The following is a 19,237-nucleotide window of genomic DNA, read 5'->3' on the forward strand; positions in this document are numbered from 1 at the left end:
ATCACAATTCTTTACTCTGACTACTATCCCTATGTAATTTGACACCTGCTTTTCTCTCCAGTCTTATTGTATACTACTCCCTTCTCTGCCTCCCATACTTCAGTCACATTAGCTTACTTGAACACAGCAAATTTCAGGGCCTTAGGATAAGTTTTTTTTTTTTTTTAATCTTTTGCGGGGTGAAGGGGGATGGCAGGACCTAGCAGACTCTTGCTGATATCTTCACAAAAATAGCTCCTTGCAGTCTTTCATATCTTAGCCTAAGTATCATGTCTTCAAGAGAAGATTCTCTAATACTGCCACCCAGTCATTCTCTGTCTTATAACTATTTTCTAAATTTCTGCATAGTATTCATGATTTGCAGATTTTTTTTATTCATAAACTTTTCTCCAAGTATTTTATTTTGAAAAATTTCAATCATACGGCATTTTGAAATAATTGTTACGGTTTATACTCGTATACCCAACACTAAGATCCCACTATTAACCTTTTTCTAGATTTGCTTTACCACTTATCTGTTCATATACTAATCCATTTTATTTTTGTTGCATTTCAGAGTAAATTGCACAACCAGTATATGTCCCATTAAATACTTCAACATGTGTTATTAATTGAATTCAGTATTTGTATACAGTTTTGTTATTTTGATGCCAAATTTGCACACAATATAATGTGAACAAATCTTAAGTGTGTATTTGTGGATTTTGACATATGCATATATATATATAACTTAGAATCCCACCAAGGTGCTGAACATACTATTTCCCTGGAGATTTCCCTCATGATCCTTCCAAGTCAGTTCTCGCCTACCCCCTGGCCTGCAGGTAACTTGTTCAGATTTTTATACTAAAGATTAGATTTTTAAAAATTAAGATAAATTTTTAATACTATACAATTCAGCCTTTCAAAGTGCACAATTCGGTGATTTTTTGTGTATTTACAAGGTTGTGTAACTGTAATCACTATCTAATTTCAGAAGATCTTCATTACTCCCCAAAGAAACTCTGTACTCATTAGTATGTACTTCTTATTTTCTTTCCATCTAGTCCCTGACAACCATTAATTTACTTTGTGTCTTGTGGATTTACTTATTCTGGGGATATTTCATATAAATAAATGGAATCACAACATATGAACTTTTGTGTCTGGTTTCTTTCACACAGAATAGTGTTTTTAAGGTTCATCCATGTTCTACCGTTTATCCCTTTTTACGGTTGGATAATTTTCTATTGTATGTACATGCCACATTTTGTCTGTTTTTTATTTTTTTGAGATAGGGTCTCGCTCTTTTACCCAGGATAGAGTGCAGTGGTGTGATCCCAGCTCACTGCAGCTTTAATCTCCTGGGCTCTACTAATCCTCCTGCCTTACCCTCCTGAGTAGCTAGGACTACAGGTGTGTGCCACTATGCCTAATTTTTGTATTTTTTTGTAGTGGGTTTTCACCATGTTGCCTCAGTTGATCTTGAATTCCTGGGCTCAAGTGATCCACCCACATTGGCCTCCCAGAGTGCTGGGATTATAGACATGAGCCACTGCACCTGGCCTTATCTATTTATTCATCTATTGATGGACATTTGGGTTGTTTTTACCTCTTGGCTATTGTAAATGGTACTGCTATGAACATTTATGTCCATGTATTTGTTTGTATACCTGTTTTCAATTATTTTGGGTATATTCTTCGAAGTGAAATTGCTGGGTTATATGGTAATTCTATGTGTAACTTTTGGAGATACTAGCAAATTATTTTCCATGGTGGCTGTCCCATTTTACATTTCTACCAAGAATATATAAGGGTTTCAATCTCTTCATATCCTTGCCAACCCTTGTTATTTTCTTTCTTTTATAAGGAAAACTATTGCCATCCTAGTGTGTGTGTAGAATAATATCTTATTGTAGCAGAGGGAAGAATAGATTAAAAAAAGTGACTCAACTATATGCTGTCTATAAGAAACTCACTTTAGATGCAGAGACACAAATAGGTTGAAAGTGAAAGGAAGGAAAAAGATATCCCATGTAAATAGTAACCAAAAGAGAGCTGGGGTGGCATACTAATGTCAGACAAGATAAACTTTAAGTCCAAAACTATTCTAAGAGACAAAGAAGGGCATTTTATATTGATTAACAATTACAAATGTATATGCACCAGGAAACATGGCCCTAAAATATTTGAGATAAACATTGACGGAATTGAAGGGAGAAACAGACTAATTCTACAATAGTAGTTGGAGACTTTAATAGCACACTATAAGTAATGGATGCAACATCTAGAGAGATCAGTAAGGGAGGGAATAGAGGACTTGAACAGCACTATATACTAATTAGACCTTATGGATATATAATGACCATTCTACCCAATAACAATATAAGGCACATTTTTCTCAAGTAACTATTAAAAGAGGAAAGGAGTGATGATTGAGTTAAAATAATTGTTAAAGAAAAAGAAAATATAATAACAAACAGGAGCAATATCTCATAAAGTGTTGCCCATGACTCGCAATGTTCCCAAGACTTAGTTTGATATAGAAATATTTTTCCCCGCATGTACTGATTTATATTGATGGATTGCTCTTTTCTTAAAATAGTATAGGATTCTCTGCAATATATAAATTTTATTTTTCTTTGCAAATGATTGCTTTATATTAATTTGATTACTATTTTATAGTAAAATTTTTGTTGTGGTGGTGGTTGTTTTTTGAGACAGAGTCTCATTCTGTTGCCCAGGCTGGAGGGCAGTGGTGTGATCTCAGCTCACTGCAACCTCTGCCTCCTGGGTTCAAGCGATTCATCTGCCTTAGCCCCCACTTAGCTGGGACTACAGGCATGCACCACCACGCCTGGCTAATTTTTGTATTTTTAATAGATACAAGGTTTCACCATGTTGGCCAGACTAGTCTGAAACTCCTGACCTCAAGTGCTCCCCCTGCCTTGGCCTCCCAAAGTGCTGGGATTACAAGTGTAAGCCACCACATCTGGCTGGTTACTATTTTGTAGTAAAATTGACCATGAGTTAGTTTTCTTTGTATTTCTAATACTTAATGCTTGTTACAGAGTATATATTCAGCAAGTGGTTATTTGGTGAATAAATCAAAATGAAATATGTATATATATGTATAGAAATGAATTAAGCAATCACATATTTAAAGTTCTTTTGTAATATTTATAGACCAGAATTTGACTATAATTTTCTCCCTTTTCCCCCTTAATCTTCAATTTTATAATAGAGATACCTGGGGAAAAAAAGGAATATTAAGCAAAACATGATAAACTTTCAGCAAATAGATAATTGAAACAAAATGATCTAGGATTATTCAAATAAATTCAGTATATACTTGTTAGTGACTACTAGTCATCAATTCTTGTAGGCTGTCCTTGTGTTCATTAGGCTGGACTAATAGAAATTTATAGGAATCTAAGATTCAAATGTATGAAAGTCTTTTACTGAACCTTATTGCCTTTACACCAGCCTGTTCCCATGACATCTTATGTTCTTTGAAAGTCTGGCTCTCCCATTTGACTTATTTTACTATTAGTCTTCTGATGTAGTGTGTCTGCCCTGTCTCTGCGTAGTGTGTGGGGGCTATATGGTAGTCCTTTCTTTTCTGCCCTGGCTGTTTGCCTTTGCCTATTCTTCTCATCTTCCTTTTGGCATAATACAACATTTTTTTAAAAAGTTACTTTTGTTGCTTATATACAACCAATAATTCATACTTAAGAGGGATAAAAATATGTGGCTAAGTCAGGAATCTTTTTATTTTGTCTATTTCATGCAGCTTAGAAAAATTTTCACATGTTATATATGACTCTGGGGTTAAGGTTATATGGAAGAAACCTTTGCAAAAACATTACAATTTATACCTTCTTCACAATCTTACATCTTGTTAATTTATTTGCCAATTTCGTCTTCAGGAGAAGACATTTAATATTTAAGGAGATTGAATAACGCCTAAGGAAAAGTTATGTTAAAGAAAATGGCATTAAAATAATCTATGTGAAATCCATTAAATAATGAGATGTATATTTTGCTGTTTTCCTATTATTGAAGTGATGTGGTCATTTGAGATTAGAATGATATTCCCTGGGAGACAGGAACTTGTGTTCTGTGGCTTTTTTTCTTCTTTCTTTTCCAATGGGTGCTTATATTTTCTTTTATTATTCCAACATGCACATTTGGGTTTAAGCATAATTTCACAAGTTCTTTTTCTGTCTTTTACTGTTAAATTTGCTGTTTCTGTCTCCCTTTATTTCTCTCAGTCCTTCATCTTCTTTCTCTTGTTTTATTGTTAGTCATTCGTGAATACCATTTTTTTCCTTTTTCTATTACTCTGTTGGAAAAGGCTGTGCATAACATTCAGGCAGGAATGTGGAAACACATTGTAATGTGAAAAAAACATTGCTTTTTTTGTTTGGAAACTTCCTGTGTGTGAAGCGTTTTGCTCTAATCTGGGCACTGAAATGCACTGATTTCCGATCCCTGGAGCAGAGTTAGGGATCTAGTATTTTTATTTGCCTAAGTAGAGAGAAATAGGCAGGCAAAATCAGTTTTTCCTTTCTCTGCCAAAGAAATAGTGTCATAAAATAGTGTCATGTATTGGTTTGTTTAGTGTATAATACATCTGGATTATATTTTTGTAGGTACTGAATATTGATTCTTATTTAAATATGTTTATATAGTTATTTGTATATATGTGTATGACAGACTGAGGAAAGGCTGTGTGTGTGTGTGTGTGTGTGTGTGTGTGTGTGTGCGCAGTAGTAGAGATGTGGATAAATCATAGACTCCAACATATATATGTTTACTAGTTACTGGATAATTACAGACCCCAAATAGTATTGATGCAAATGTGCATCACCTCAGTCTGAGGTCTGCCAACTCGAATGATACTCCAAAACTAAACTGATAATGATGAAACTAAATATAACTATTTTGTGATTTAAAGAGAGCAATAAAATCAGTGGAAAATTATGATCAAATAAAAAATGAGTAATGCATTGATAGTAGAGTGTATTTCCCCAATTTGTTTGAATTTAAACTGTTTCCTTGTTTGTATCTACAGCAGGAATTTTTCAGTGTTAGTCACATGGTGCATGGCAGCCAAATTTCCCAGTAGATTCTGAACTAGATTCCTTGGAAAACTCTAGTAATATGCTAAATTTAATTGGAGTTTGTGGAGTTGTCATTAGTTCACCAGACCTCGACTATACCACATTTTTACAGCCCCTCTCCTGTCACTTTAAACAACACAGATTTAGTTTTTCTTCATTCTGTGTGTTCAATTCTCATTCGTCAGGTTGTAGGGTGAGAAGGAGGCATTTTGTTCTATGCTATCCTTATTCAGTGGCTAAGGCTGATGGAGTTTCCACCATCTGCAATGTCATAGATTACAGAGGCAGGACACAGAAAAGCCTCAGTTTTGGTAATCATCAATAAGACATTCTTCATGACAAGGTGTTTACTATTATATCTCATTGTGTGGCTTTGAAATTTGCAGATTGTCACCACCATCTCCTAAATATTTCTTGAATTTATCTACTTCTCTGCATTTCTGTTGCTATTCTCTTTGTTTAAGGTAGTGTCATCCCTTGCCTACATCACTGTAACAGCTTTTGAAATGTACTCCTCTTATCATAGCTTGTAATCCCTTGGAGGTAGACTCTGGAAGCTTATTGGGGGAAATAATTTTGGGACCAATACCTGAGGGGGAATGAAGGAAACTGAGCCAAGGGAAAAGTTGAATTGATTCTCTCTCAACAAAGCCATCAGCTAATAATTTAGAGAGCTGTGAATATTTGTTGGTCTTTTTTAGTTGTTCCAAGTTCGGGCAAGAGGATTCAGCCTTTATACACCTGTATCAACTATCTAGGGGGTGTGGGCTGCCCCTAGGAAGGGGCATGACCTTAGGCAGAAAGCCGAGGACAAGTCAGCTTTTGGTTGACAATACTTACAACAGTTGGGGCAATGTCCTGAACTAGGGATCTGGGCAGAAAACTGTACTTAATAACTTTGAGATATATTTTTCATGATTGTTCATTTCTAAGTAATTTCAGATTTCTGCTATGATTTTGACTCATATGTTATTTGGTGATGTATTTTAATTCTTTAATTTTTTGAGATAGAGTCTTGCTCTGTCATTGAGGCTGGAGTGCAGTGGTGTGATCACGGCTCACTGTAGCCTCAACCTCCTAGGCTCAAGCGATCCTCCCACCTCAGCCACTGGAGTAGCTGGGACTACAGGCACATGCCACCACTTTTGGCTAATTTTTGTTGTTGTTGTTGTTTTTGTATTTTTTGTAGAGACAGGGTTTTGCCATGTTGCCCAGGCTGGTCTCAAATTCCTGGGCTCTACTGATCCTCCTGCTTTGGCCTCCCAAAGTGCTAGAATTACAAGTGTGAGCCACCATGCCAAGCCTAGTGATATATTTCTAAATAACTGAAAAAAAAATAGTTTTTTATTATTATTGATTTCTAACTTAATTGCTTTGTGGTCAGAGAGTATCATGTTTTTCATTTAAAAATCTTTCAGATTTGATGAAAATTGCTTTATGGCTAAGGAATAAGTCACTCTGATACATATTCTGTATGTTCCTGAAAAGAGTGTATATTCTCAAATTATTATATGCAATGTCTTATAGAAAACTCAAGAGGTCAAACCTACCTATTGGGATATTCAAAACTTCTAGTGAGTTTTTTTTTTTTTTTTTAATTAAGACAATGGAGTCTCACTCTGTCACCCAGGCTAGAGTGCAATGGTGCGATCTTGGCTCAATGCAACCTCCGCCTCCCGGGTTCAAGTGATTCTCCTGTCTCAGCCTCCTGAGTAGCTGGGATTACAGGCACCCACCACCATGCCCGACCAAGTTTTATAGTTTAGTAGAGATGGGGTTTCACCATGTTGGCCAGGCTGGTCTCGAACTCCTGACCTCGGGTCATCCGCCCACCTTGGCCTCCCAAAGTGCTGAGATTACAGGCATAAGCCACTGCGCCCAGCCTGTGTGGGTTTTTTTTTTTTTTTTTTTTGAGACAGAGTCTCACTCTGTCGCCCAGACGGGAGTACAGTGGCATGATCTCGGCTCACTGCAAGCTCCCCTCCCAGGTTCACACCGTTCTCTTGCCTCAGCCTCCCAAGTAGTTGGGACTACAGGTGCCTGCCTCCACGCCCGGCTAATTTTTTGTATTTTCAGTAGAGACGAGGTTTCACCATATTAGCCAGGATGGTCTTGATCTCCTGAGCTCATGATCTGCCCGCCTCTGCCTCCCAAAGTGCTGGGATTACAGGTGTGAGCCACCGTGCCCGGCCTTTTTTTTTTTTTTTTGAGACAAAGTCTCGCTCTGTCACCTAGGCTGGAGTGCATTGGCACAATCTGGGCTCACTGCAACCTCTGCCTCCCGGGTTCAAGCAATTCTCCTGCCTCAGCCTCCCGAGTAGCTGTGACTACAGGTGCCTGCCACCACACCTGGCTAATTTTTTTGTATTTTTAGTAGAGATGAGGTTTCACCATGTTGGCCAGGCTGGTCTCGGACTCCTAACCTTAAGTAATCCGCCCACCTCGGCCTCCCAAAGTGCTGGGATTATAGGCATGAGTCACCACATCCAGCCTTTTTGTGATGTTTTTGGATATCTGATGGACCTATATTTGAAAAAGTGATTTTCCAATTTTTCCTTGCTCGTTAGGTTTTGTCCCTGTTTAGATAATAGGTGTATTACAGTGTATCGTGTTTCCTTGGCTATCAAAACATAATGACCAATTTTTGTTTTCAAGTCTAATTATGATATTAATATTCCTAAACAAGCTTATTTTTGTTTTATCCTTGTATCATTCTTTATCTTTTTCATCTGCCAGTGAACTGTTGTTTTAGGTGTGTCTCTTGTAAGTGCACATCTAAATTTGGACTGGATTTTTATTTTATTGTTTTTCTATTCAGCCTGCTGGAGCTTGTCTTTTAGCTGGAGAGTTTAGTCCATTTATATTTATTGTATTTAAAATTATATTTTGATTTATTTATATAATCTACTTTTTGGGGGTTTTGTTTGTTCCATTCTTTGGATTCTGTTTTCTTTCTTGGCTTCTTTTTGATGACGACTTTAAAAAAAATGTCTCTTGTTCTTATTTTATGTCCCCTTCCCATTCCTCCCTCCACTATGTTGGAAATTTTATACTCTATTTCTATTGTTTCAGTGCTTGCTATAGAAATTTCAACTTGGAGACATTCCTTCAGGTGTCCTTCATCTTTGGCAACATTTAGTGTTGTCAGTGTTTTGGATTTTAGCCATTCTAATAGGCACATAGTAGTATCTCATAGTTTCAGTTTGCAGTTCCCTCATGACATATAATATTGAGCATCTTTTCATGCTATTATTTGCTATCTGTGTTTCTTTTTTATTGAGATGTCTCTTCAAATCTTTTGTTAATTTTTCAATTGGGTGGTTTGTTTCCTGGTTGAGTTTTAAGAGCTCTGTGTATTTTGGATACAAGTTCTTTCTTAGGTATGGGTTTTGTAAATATTTTCTCCCAGTCTAGAACTTATGTCTTTATTCTTTTTTTTTGAGATGGAGTCTCACTCTTGTTGCCCAGGCTGGAGTGCAGTGGCGCGAGCTTGGCTCACTGCAACCTCCGCCTCCCGGGTTCAAGTGATCCTCCTGCCTCAGCCTCCTGAGTAGCTGGGATTATGGGCACCCGCCACCACGCCTGGCTAATTTTTTTTTTTTGTACTTGTAGTAGAGATGGGGTTTTGCCATGTTGGCCAGGCTGGTCTCGAACCCCTGACCTCAGGTGATCTGCCCACCTCGGCCTCCCAAAGTGCTGGGATTACAGGCATCAGCCACCATGCCCGGCTGTGTCTTTATTCTTTTAAGAATGTTATTTGGGCTGCAGAAATTTTTATTTTAATGAAGTTAAATGTGCCAATTTTTAATGGTTTGTGCTTTTGGTGTTATATGTAAAAACTCATTGCTAAACCAAAGTCACCTAGATGTTCTTCTATTTTTTCTCTAGAAATTTTATAGTTCTGCAATGTATATTTAGGTCTGAGATCCATTTTGAGTTAATTTTTGTGAAAGGTATAAGGATTGTGGCAAGATTAATTTTCTTGCATAATGAATATCCAGTTATTCCAGTACCCTTTGTTTGGAAAGACTATCTGCATTTAATTGCCATTGCTTCTTTGTCATAGTTCAGTTGACTGTATTTGTGTGGGTCTACTTCTGGGCTCTTGAGTAATTTGTCTGTCTTAGACAATACCATACTGTCTTGATGTCTGTAGCTTTATAGTAAGTCTTGAAGTTGGGTATTGTTAGTCTTTTGAATTTGTTCTTTTTCTTCAATATTGTGATGCCTATTCTGGGTCTTTTCCTTTCCATATAAACTTTAGAATCAGTTTGTGGATATCTACAAAATAAATTGCTAGGACTTTGATTTTAATTGTGTTCAACCTATAGATCACGTTGAGGAGGATTGATATCTTAACAATATTGAATCTTCCTATCCATGTACATTGATTATCTCTACATTTAGATTTTCATCCATTTCTTTCGTCAGAGTTTTGTAGTTTTCCTCATAGATACACTGTATGTATTTTAAGATTCATGCCTATTTTATTTCTTTAGTGCTAATGTAAATGTCACTATTTTAATTTCAAATTCCAGTTGTTCACTGCTGGTATATAGGAATGTGATAATCTTTTGTATATTAATTTGTATTCTGTAACCTTACTATAATTGCTTATCAGTTCCAAGAATTTTGTTGTTATTGCTGATTTTTTTGGAATTCCTTCATAGACAGTCATCTTATCCACTAGTGAAGACAGTTCTATTTATTCCTTTCCAGTCTGTTTACTCTTTATTTCCTTTTCTTAACATACTTCATAAGCTGGAATCTGCAGTCAGATGTTGAATAAGAGTTGTAAGAGGGGACATTCTTGTATTTTTCCTGATTTTTGGGAGAAGGCATCCAGTTTCTTGTCATTAAGTGTAATGTTAACTGTAGGCTTTTTGTGTATATTCTTTATCAAGTACAAGAAATTTCTCTTTATTCCTAGTTTGCTAAACTCAGTGATTGTTGATTTTTGTTAAATGCTTTTTCTGCATCTATTTATATGATCATAGGATTTTTCTTCTTTAGCCTGTTAATGTGATGGATTACATTAATTGATTTTTGGATGTTGAATCAGCTTTGCATACCAGGATTAAATCCCATTTGGTCATGGTATATAATTCTTTTTATATATTATTGGATTTTTTAGTCATTTTAATATCTAAAAACTTAATTTTAAAATGTTTGCTTTTTTCTTATTTATCTCATCATGTTTATTTTTTTCTCCAAATCATTTTACCTGTTTGTAATAGCTGTAACTTATAATAGTATTTGTAACAACTGTTTTAAGAGTCTTCATTTCTGGGTTTCTTTCTGTCAGCTATTTTCCTTCTGATATGAATCACATTTTGCATCTTTACCTATCTCTTAATTGTTGATTGGATTCTAGACATTGTAAATGTTACATTGTGTGTTTGGATTTTGTTACCTTTATTTAAAAGGTATAGATGTTTAGTCTGGCAGGTACATTAATTTTGTTTAGGTTAAGGCCTTTTAGGCTTTAAAAAAGTTTTCTTAGGGCAAGTCTAGCATAGTCCTTTCTCGTGTTCTGATTAAACAAGCTTGTATTATGCTGTCTCTCTACCCGTCACACTTCCTGTCCTTTGGTTCATAATTTCTATTTCATTATACGTCTATGGTTTTTTCGTAGTATAATGTAAACCCATGAAAGATGTAGGCAGGAGAGAGATATAATAGTATATATACCTTAAGAAAATTTCACTGACCACTATGTGGCTTGGATGGGGGCAACTGTAGTAGTGGGGAGTTCTGCTAGTAGGCCAGTACAAGAGTCCTGGACTGCTGGTAGTTTGTGTAAGTATTATGATTAAGTATTATGATAACTGAGATAAAGAAAAGTGAATAGATTTGATCTTTTTAAATAAAGAATTTATAAGAGTTTCATACTATCCAGCAGTTGTGCTCTTACACATAGATCCAGGAAGCTCATATACAAAGTTCCAGACAACAAGTACAAAAATATTCAAAGGACCATTGTTATATAAATAGAACAGGTTACAGTCTGAATGTTCATTCACAGTGGAATGGATAATGCTGCAGTATGTTTGTAGGTGACATAGATTACAGCAGTAAAAATAATGACTTACAGCTGCTCAGATTAACTAATAGATTTACTTAGTAACTCTTACTTTGCATGTTATTCTTTAGGCAGTTTCAGCCACTGCAGAAACAACAAAGAAGACAGGCAAAGATCTTTGTCTTTATGTTTTTTTAATCATTGTGCAGTGAACAATGTAGATATTGACTAAAGCAAGAATCATTAAAGTTCATTTTTAATAATGGGTGAAAATTGTTTGGATATAGGATCATCACAGTTTCAAAGTATCAATCTACAGATTATTTGCTAAGAAAAAATGGCATACTTTCTGTGAGGAAATTTAATGGATGCCATCTTAAGTAATCAAGCTTTATCAGTTTGGGATAAATTGACTTTTTATTTTACTTTTGATGCGATGGAAGAACTCGAGGATACAATATCAACTATGTTGTATTTAAGATTTGTTAAACATCTTGAATTTAATGAGTGAATAATCAGGTATATTCAAATTGTGGAATATTCTATCAAACAACCACCCTGGGTTCTTCAGAAATATCATGGTCATGAAGAACTCCCCCCGCCATCAGCACAAAACAACAAACACAAACCCACACTTTCCCTTCTGGGGAGGCTGAGGGGGTTCAAAAGGCAAGTGAACTACTTTACATTAGAGGAGCACAAAGAAACGAAACAAAGCAATGCGTACTATCTATGTAATTCTCATGAGCAACTTTCATCTGGGGATTTCCTTCCTTTCTGTCCTAGTTCTTTCTCGGAGTGGGGTGTCTTTTCTCTTCTGAGGTCCTATTACCCATATCAGGGCCTATTCTATCCATCTAGAGGACTGTTCAACTTCCTGAAATATCTTTTGTTTTCTTTTTACCTTGGACCTTTCCTTGAGGAAACAAAGGCCTTGTAGTTAATTATAGGTGTTTTGCAATTGGTTATTTAAAGAAGATCCCCATTCCCCATCACATCTCCTTGATTCATGAGAGATTTCTGATTAGTACCGCTGGATTAGGAATAAGACATTTTCTAAGAAATACTTTTCTTTTCCCTTCTTTTTATTTTTCCTTTCCCATTAGTATATTCTATGAAATTTTAATTCAAGAAATTGTAGGTGAGAAAACCACATAAGATTCTTTATTATACAGCGTACCACTGTTGCATCAATAGGGTGTCATTTTATCAGCTTTTAAGTTACCAGGTTGTGCTACCATGTGTGGCTTGGGTTTTGCTTGAAAAGTAAGGTTATTTATTGTGTCTTGAGTAGGTAAATGTGACATTATCAGTTGGTCAAAAAAGATAATTCTTTTTAACTTGGAATCCATAACTAAATGGAAAATCTCCTAAGCTCCTAGAATCTTCCTTCATTCATCCCCTTATCTTCCACATCCAAACTGTCGCTAACTCTAGTCTTTGTCTTTCTCTCTATCTCTGTTGCTAGCTGGACTGCTGCAAAGGCTTCCTCATCAGCTCCTTGTTTCTACCTTTGCCCTTTCACCATTCATTCATTGCACAGCAGCCAAAGTGATCTTTTAAAATGCTGTATTAGGTACTTCCCTTTCCTGTATCACACCTTCCAACTTGTTCCTTCTGTCTGGACTCATCCCCCCTCACTGATTTTCAGAGTGCTCGCTCTATCTTGTCATTAGGTTCTCAGTTTAAATACTAGTTTTCTCAGAGAAGCATTTTCAAGGAGCAGTAACCCTGTCACTCTCAGTTACATTTATTCCCTCCGTGTTATAGCAGTCATCACTATCTTACATTGTGTATAAGACATACATGCACTTATTTATTTATATTAATATGTGTATATACATAAAGAAATACTGCAGCCTTGACCTCCTGGGCCCAAGCTGTCCCCCCAGCTCAGCCTCCCAAGTAGCCGGGATTAGAGGTGTGAGCCACTCCACCCGACTCAGACATATATTTAGATGCATGTATGTTTGTATATCATTGTCTGCTAGATAGCAGGGAGTTTTCTGAATCGTTGGCCTTTGTAGCCTGCAGAGAGCCAGATAAGGCTTATAGTGTATATTCAGTAAACATTTTTTAAACTGATGAATACAAATTTGATAGTAGAGTTAGAAAGAAGGCTGCTTGCTTTGTGGTAGAAAGTAAGACGCACTGGTAGCTGGGAGGTGAGGGACCCAGAGAAGATGTCCTGTCCTGCACTTAAACCTGCCCTTGAAAACTGAGTCCAGAAAAGTAGCAATGGAAACTTTGTAGTACTTTGCTAACCTAAGTTTCTGTATTTTCTTCGTATATTTTGTCATATAGTATTAGTAGATTTCTTTTCGGAAGCATTAGTGCCTCTTTTATTGTGCAGAAGAGAATAAGGAGTGGAGACTGTCTCTGTGTTGGAGGTTCAGTGTCAGTAGGGGAGTCACTTCTGTGTCTGGGGTGAGGTAAGGTAGTAGCAGTAAGCATCCCATGAGAGGACCTGGAAGGTGAGGAAAAACTTGGGAAGGGCACTAGAGCCTGATTTTTTTTTTTTTTTTTTTAAAGCAGTCTCTTCTACTAGGACTTTCACCTCCTTTTACGAGTAGAATTTGTATTTTGTTATGCTCTGTGTATTAGTCCATTCTCACACTGCTAATAAATACATACCTGAGACTGGGTAGTGTATAAAGAAAAAGAGGTTTAATGGGCTCACAGTTACACATGGCTGGGGAGGCCTCACGATCATGGTGGACGGTGAATTAAGAGCAAAGTCATGTCTTAACATGGCACCAGGCAAGAAGAGAATGAGTGCCAGCAGGGGAAATACCAGACACTTACGAAACCATCAGATCTCATGAGAACTCACTCACTATCACGAGGACAGTGTGGGGAAAACCGCCCTCATGATTCAGTCACCTCCCGCCAGGTCCCTCCCACAGCACATGGGGATTATTACATTTCAAGATGAGATTTGGGTGGGGACACAGAGCCAACGCTTATCATTCTGTTTCAAACATATGTCAGCTGAAGAATACAAAATTAAACAAATACAGTATAGACAAGAGTCAAGCACAGAAGTAAGTGCTCCAGTGGATGAGAAAATGTGAGAGAACATTAGTGGAAATTTCATGTCCAGATGAGGTGAGGGGTAACAAGTACCATCAACTTGATCATTTCTGATTTTTCCAGGAATGCCAACTTTTGACTAAATATTTTTTTCCTTCCACTTCCCATTTACTTATCTTAATTAGAGTGGCAGGGACACAAGAAAGTAGGGATGAGGGACTGAACTGTTGGATATTATTTAACATTATCTGTGTGGATTATTCTTTTCCCTCCTCTTCAGATTTCTAAGTATTGTTTCTCCATGGTGTGGTGACAGCATATGTACTGCCTGAAATCGATTTGGCATAAGAAGTTGAGTAGAAAACCTTACTGTTACATTATTTCAGAATATAGCTCAATGGTTAAATTAAGAGTTAGTATCAGCCAGGTTCAGTGGCTTATGCCTGTAATCCCAGCACTTTGGGAGGCCAAAGCGGGAGGATTGCTTAAGGCCAGGAGTTCCAGACCAATGTGGGCAATATAATGAGACCCCCATCTTTAAAAAAAAAAAAAAGAAAATTAGCTGGGTGTGTTGGGGTGCACCTGTTGTCCCAGTTACTGAGGAGGCTGAGGTGGGAGGGTTGCTTGAGTCTAAGAGGTCAAGGCTGCAGTGAGCCAAGATCACACTCTGCACTCTAGCCTGGGTGACAGAGCGAGACCAAAAACAAAAAAGCTAGTCTAACTTGCATCAGTTTCTTCCTTCCTCCCAACATTTTTCTGTTTGGCTTGTGAGATTTTGGTCAGGGAATCTTGCCTTCCTGGGTTACATGTATTCACAGGTCTAATGCTGTGATGCCAGCAGCACTGGGAGACCACAATGCCTTATTATATATTGTCCTATTCTCTAATGACTTCCCACCTTTTCTGAGCATCTGATAATTTTTTGTTGATAAATTGTTTTATGTATCTTGTTTCCCCAGCTTGTTCCTTGTGAGCAAGAATGATTTCCATGTCATATTTTGAAATTCACAAATCACTGTATAGTCCAGGGTCCTTAGTAAATGACTAAAATGCGATTAGTACTGGAACCAGAAAAACTGCAAATTTCCTAATCGTCAGAGGGAACTGAATGTAGTGGAGATGTGGGCTGTCTCTCAGCTCTTGTGGCTTCCTGTTACATGGATAAATGGTTTGTGATGATGCATTGATAAAATATTTTTTTGAGAGGATGGGGGTAAGGATCTATTAAGTTGTTGTAAACAGGGTTTTGCAGGTATACCAGTTTCAAATTTTTAGATTGCGCTTTTTCACTCCCGTAAAACAGGCTAATTCTTCTCTACTGATTTCATTCTGATTATTTTATGCTTGTTATTGTGAATGAGACAAATACCATTCTTGCCATTCTCATGCAGGATTAAAACTCGTGCATAATCTCTTGCAGAATCAAGAATCAAAGCATGCACAATCTTCTATGCTTTGTCCCCATCTATGTTTTCTATTGTGTTTTCCCCTACCATCCTGCAGATAACTCTGTACTTCAACTGAATTGTTTCAGTCATTCCTTAAACTTGTCCTATAATCTCCACCTCTGTTTTCCCCACTATTCCTGCCTGAAATGTTCAAGTCCTGCTCATTCTTCATAGCATCATTTAAATAGCCCTTTCTTTTTTTTCTTCTTTGGAAACGGAGTCTTGCGCTGGAGTGCAGTGGCGTAATCTTGGCTCACTGCAATCTCCGCCTCCCAGGTTCAAGCGATTCTCTTGCCTCAGCCTCTGAGTAGCTGGGACTACAGACGCACACCACCACACCCAGCTAAGTTTTGTATTTTTAGTAGAGACGGAGTTTCACCATGTTGGCCAGGATGGTCTTAATCTCCTGACCTCGTAATTCGCCCACCTCAGCCTCCCAAAGTGCTGGGATTACAGACATGAGCCACTGTGCCCAGCCTAAATGGCCCTTCTGATAATACACTTTTCTTAATTATTTTTCTCTCTACCTCCCTGTGATCCTTTCTGTTTTGAATTGCCAGTGATAGAACTATTTGGGTCCTTTGCTTTTCTCTTCTTGGATTTGAAGGCTCCCAGTGTAAGAGCATGTTCTTTATCTGTCTTCTCAGTGCACTGAGCATTGTTTCAAAAATACCAGCCCATATAAACATCATGAACAGAAAAAAATTTTAATTGAATTAATTATAAAACGCTTAGGAAGCAGGTGCCATTTTAACTAAGTTGAAGTTAAAGAGTGATGTTTTGTGGTTTGGGGTTCAAAAGGTCTATGACATTTGGCCTTCTCTTCCCTTTTCCTCTAAGGATCCTATAGCTTGAGTTGAGTGCCAGTAGAGCATTACAGGCCAGGAAGGATCCTGTAAGGGCTCACTGAGCTCTTTTTTCTTCAGAAAAGATCATAAACAAATGGTCCCAAACATAGGAGTATCTCTACCTTGTTTTTAGAAAACATCTAAAGAAGGAGACTTGTACACTTTTCTTGATAAATCGTTGTAAATGACTCTTGCTGTCAGAAGTTTTACTGTATAATAACTAAATACTTAATCATGTAACTGATGACAATTTTATGAGTTTAAAACTTTAGCTGGAAGTGTGCTTTGTTTTGACCTTACTTTGTATTTTCATAACACCCTGTTAATGTACGGAACAGTGGAATAGCTTCTCCATTGATACCAGTGAGCCCTGGAGCTTCTGCTCCAGCCCATAGCATCGTAGCCAGGTTTGGATTTTCCCCAATACCATCATGTCACTTCTTGCTAATAAAAGCTGTAGGGGTTGTCTGTGACTCTTCAGATGAAAATACCTTAAGTACCTGAAAATCACCATTTTTGAAAAAAGGGAATTTGTTATGCATGCAAACCTCAGTTTTGGAGATGTTTCCTGGTGCTATTATAAGTTGTTTCTTATATCTTTGATTACTTAATACTGTACTTCTGTTTTTGGAATCCACTGTTAATTTATGTGTGTTTTCTTAGCTTTTATTACTGGGGAAAGTGTTATGTTTATTGGTACAAGTACCCTTTTTTCTTTTAAAATGGTCACACTCTCATTTTTTAAATACATCATTACACTGGTGTTACTTTCCTGGTGTTATTTTCCTGACTCTAAAGAAAGGAACTTTTAAATAAATTAATTATTGTTTTCTGCGTTATTGAACATGTGGTCAATTGTCATGTTCATACATCCCAATGATCAAAGTCTGAACTTCTGTCTAATTCTTCCCTGCTGTTAGGCTACCCTGTCATGATCAAGGCCTCAGCAGGTGGTGGTGGGAAAGGCATGCGCATTGCTTGGGATGATGAAGAGACCAGGTGAGAGGCTGTCCAAAATATACTTTTGATGAAAATTGCAGTTACCAGAGTTTTATTAAACTGACAGGTAAACAGATACCAAAAGCATAATGGAGTAATTACAGTAACCATCTAATTTTTACACTTTTGAATGGGAAAAAGATTGAAATTATGTGGAAACCTTCCTTATTTATATTTTGATGATGATTATCTTATTATAGAAAGGGTTTTACTGTTTTAAACATTAACAAAGGATTTTCTTTTTGTTTTTACCGTATATTTTTAAAAATTACAGTCAGGATTCTATTTTCTGGGCATAAATTACTAACATTTGGCTATATAATTCTAAATGTCATCTAAAGATTTAAATCAACTATATTTAAAAGCAGTTATAATTTCATTGAGACTTAATGTATTACCTCAATATGTAGTTGCTTTCCTTTGCTAGTGCATAAAAGTAGTGAATTACTTTGATAATTTTAGAGTGTGAAATATATTCTTTTTCCTTGAGTTTGAAATTACTGTGTCCTTTATATGGAATGCGCTCTTATTATAATTTAGAATACTTTTTATGGCCCAATCTCAGAAGTTACACAGGTTTCCCTCCAGTGAACACAGCTTCTGCTCAAATTCAAGGGGAGGGGACTGAGTCTTCACTTCTTCATGAGAGCGTGGGCAAGATTCTTAGAAGAGCACGTGGAATGGGAGATACTGTTGTGGCCATCTTTGGAAAAGACAATCTGCCACAGCCCGTTTTGTGGGAAAGAATGGTATCATAAAGAAGTCGAATACAACTTAATGGTTTTGCAAGAGATGTGTATTTTGTGGACTTCAATTTTTTTCTCATTGTTTTTCTGTTTTGCACAGTACTTACATAGCAATTTCACTGAACGCTTAGCGCTTATTTTTCATTATTCATCTTAGGATCTCAGGTTTCTTATCAGTCATTTCTCCAGGGCTACTGTTAGTAACTTACTCTTTTATGGTGCGGATTACTCTTTATAGTTTCTTGGAAGTGAGGTTTGCTGTGCTGCTGTTGATTTATAAATTTTAATTTACAGCTTAATATTTTGAGAAATCACTATATCCATTCATATATTAGGCATCATTTTGTAAATAATTTAGCCCTTTCTTGCCAAGTAAATAGCACATTGATTCAAAATATGTTTATAAAATTAATAAAAATACATGAATAATTTTCTACTTAAAATATTACTCTCTTCAGCTTGATAAATAAACCATCTCAGAAAACTTGTTGAGATCAACACAGGCGTGCCTATTAGATTTAATAATACAAGCTCCTCATTTTAAGAAGTTGCTCTATGTCCCTTATTTATTTGGGAAAGTCAAAACTACCTAAAAAGGGAAAGAACAGTACTGCAAACATGCCTATGCTTGTCTTTTGGAGCCACTAACCGTGAACACCATACCACAACTTATCCACCCCTTCTTTTCCTCTCTCCCTCTCGAGGAAGTAATTGGTTTTTACATAATCCACAAAGATTTCATTTTTCAGGTACAAAGGAAAATTTGGTAGCTTAATTACTTTATTCCTTTATCCTAAGGGGTGTCTTTTTCTTGTAACATCTTTCCTATGTTTTTTGGGGGGAAGTAGCATCTATGACTTGTCTTGGAATCTGTAGGACATCTGAAAGATTTTTTTTAAAAATGTAATGGTTTTTTTTTTTTTTTTTTTTTTTGAGACAGAGTCTCTCTCTGTCGCCCAGGCTGGAGTGAAGTAGCACGATCTTGGCTCACTGCAATATCCGCCTCCTGGGTTCAAGTGATTCTCCTGCCTCAGCC

The 19,237-nt window shown here is 36.8% G+C and overlaps 1 protein-coding gene across 36 annotated transcripts in view; it reads left to right on the top strand.

Annotated features, from left to right (window-relative positions):
• Nucleotides 1-19,237, top strand: part of PCCA (propionyl-CoA carboxylase subunit alpha) — a 441,343-nt gene that overhangs the window by 151,126 nt on the left and 270,980 nt on the right. For 32 of the 36 annotated variants that reach the window (NR_148030.2, NR_148027.2, NR_148028.2 and 29 more), the window contains one exon: nt 17,377-17,455. The exons of the other annotated variants lie outside the window; for them this stretch is intronic. Coding sequence is in view for 26 of the 32 variants with exons in the window: in XM_017020609.2 (XP_016876098.1) it covers nt 17,377-17,455 (79 nt within the window). In the remaining 6 variants the exon portion in view is untranslated. The remainder of the gene's footprint in view (nt 1-17,376; nt 17,456-19,237) is intronic. 36 annotated transcript variants of the gene reach the window in all.

The sequence above is a fragment of the Homo sapiens genome, chromosome 13 (genome assembly GCF_000001405.40).
Source record: "Homo sapiens chromosome 13, GRCh38.p14 Primary Assembly".
Classification (NCBI taxonomy): Eukaryota; Metazoa; Chordata; class Mammalia; order Primates; family Hominidae; genus Homo; species Homo sapiens.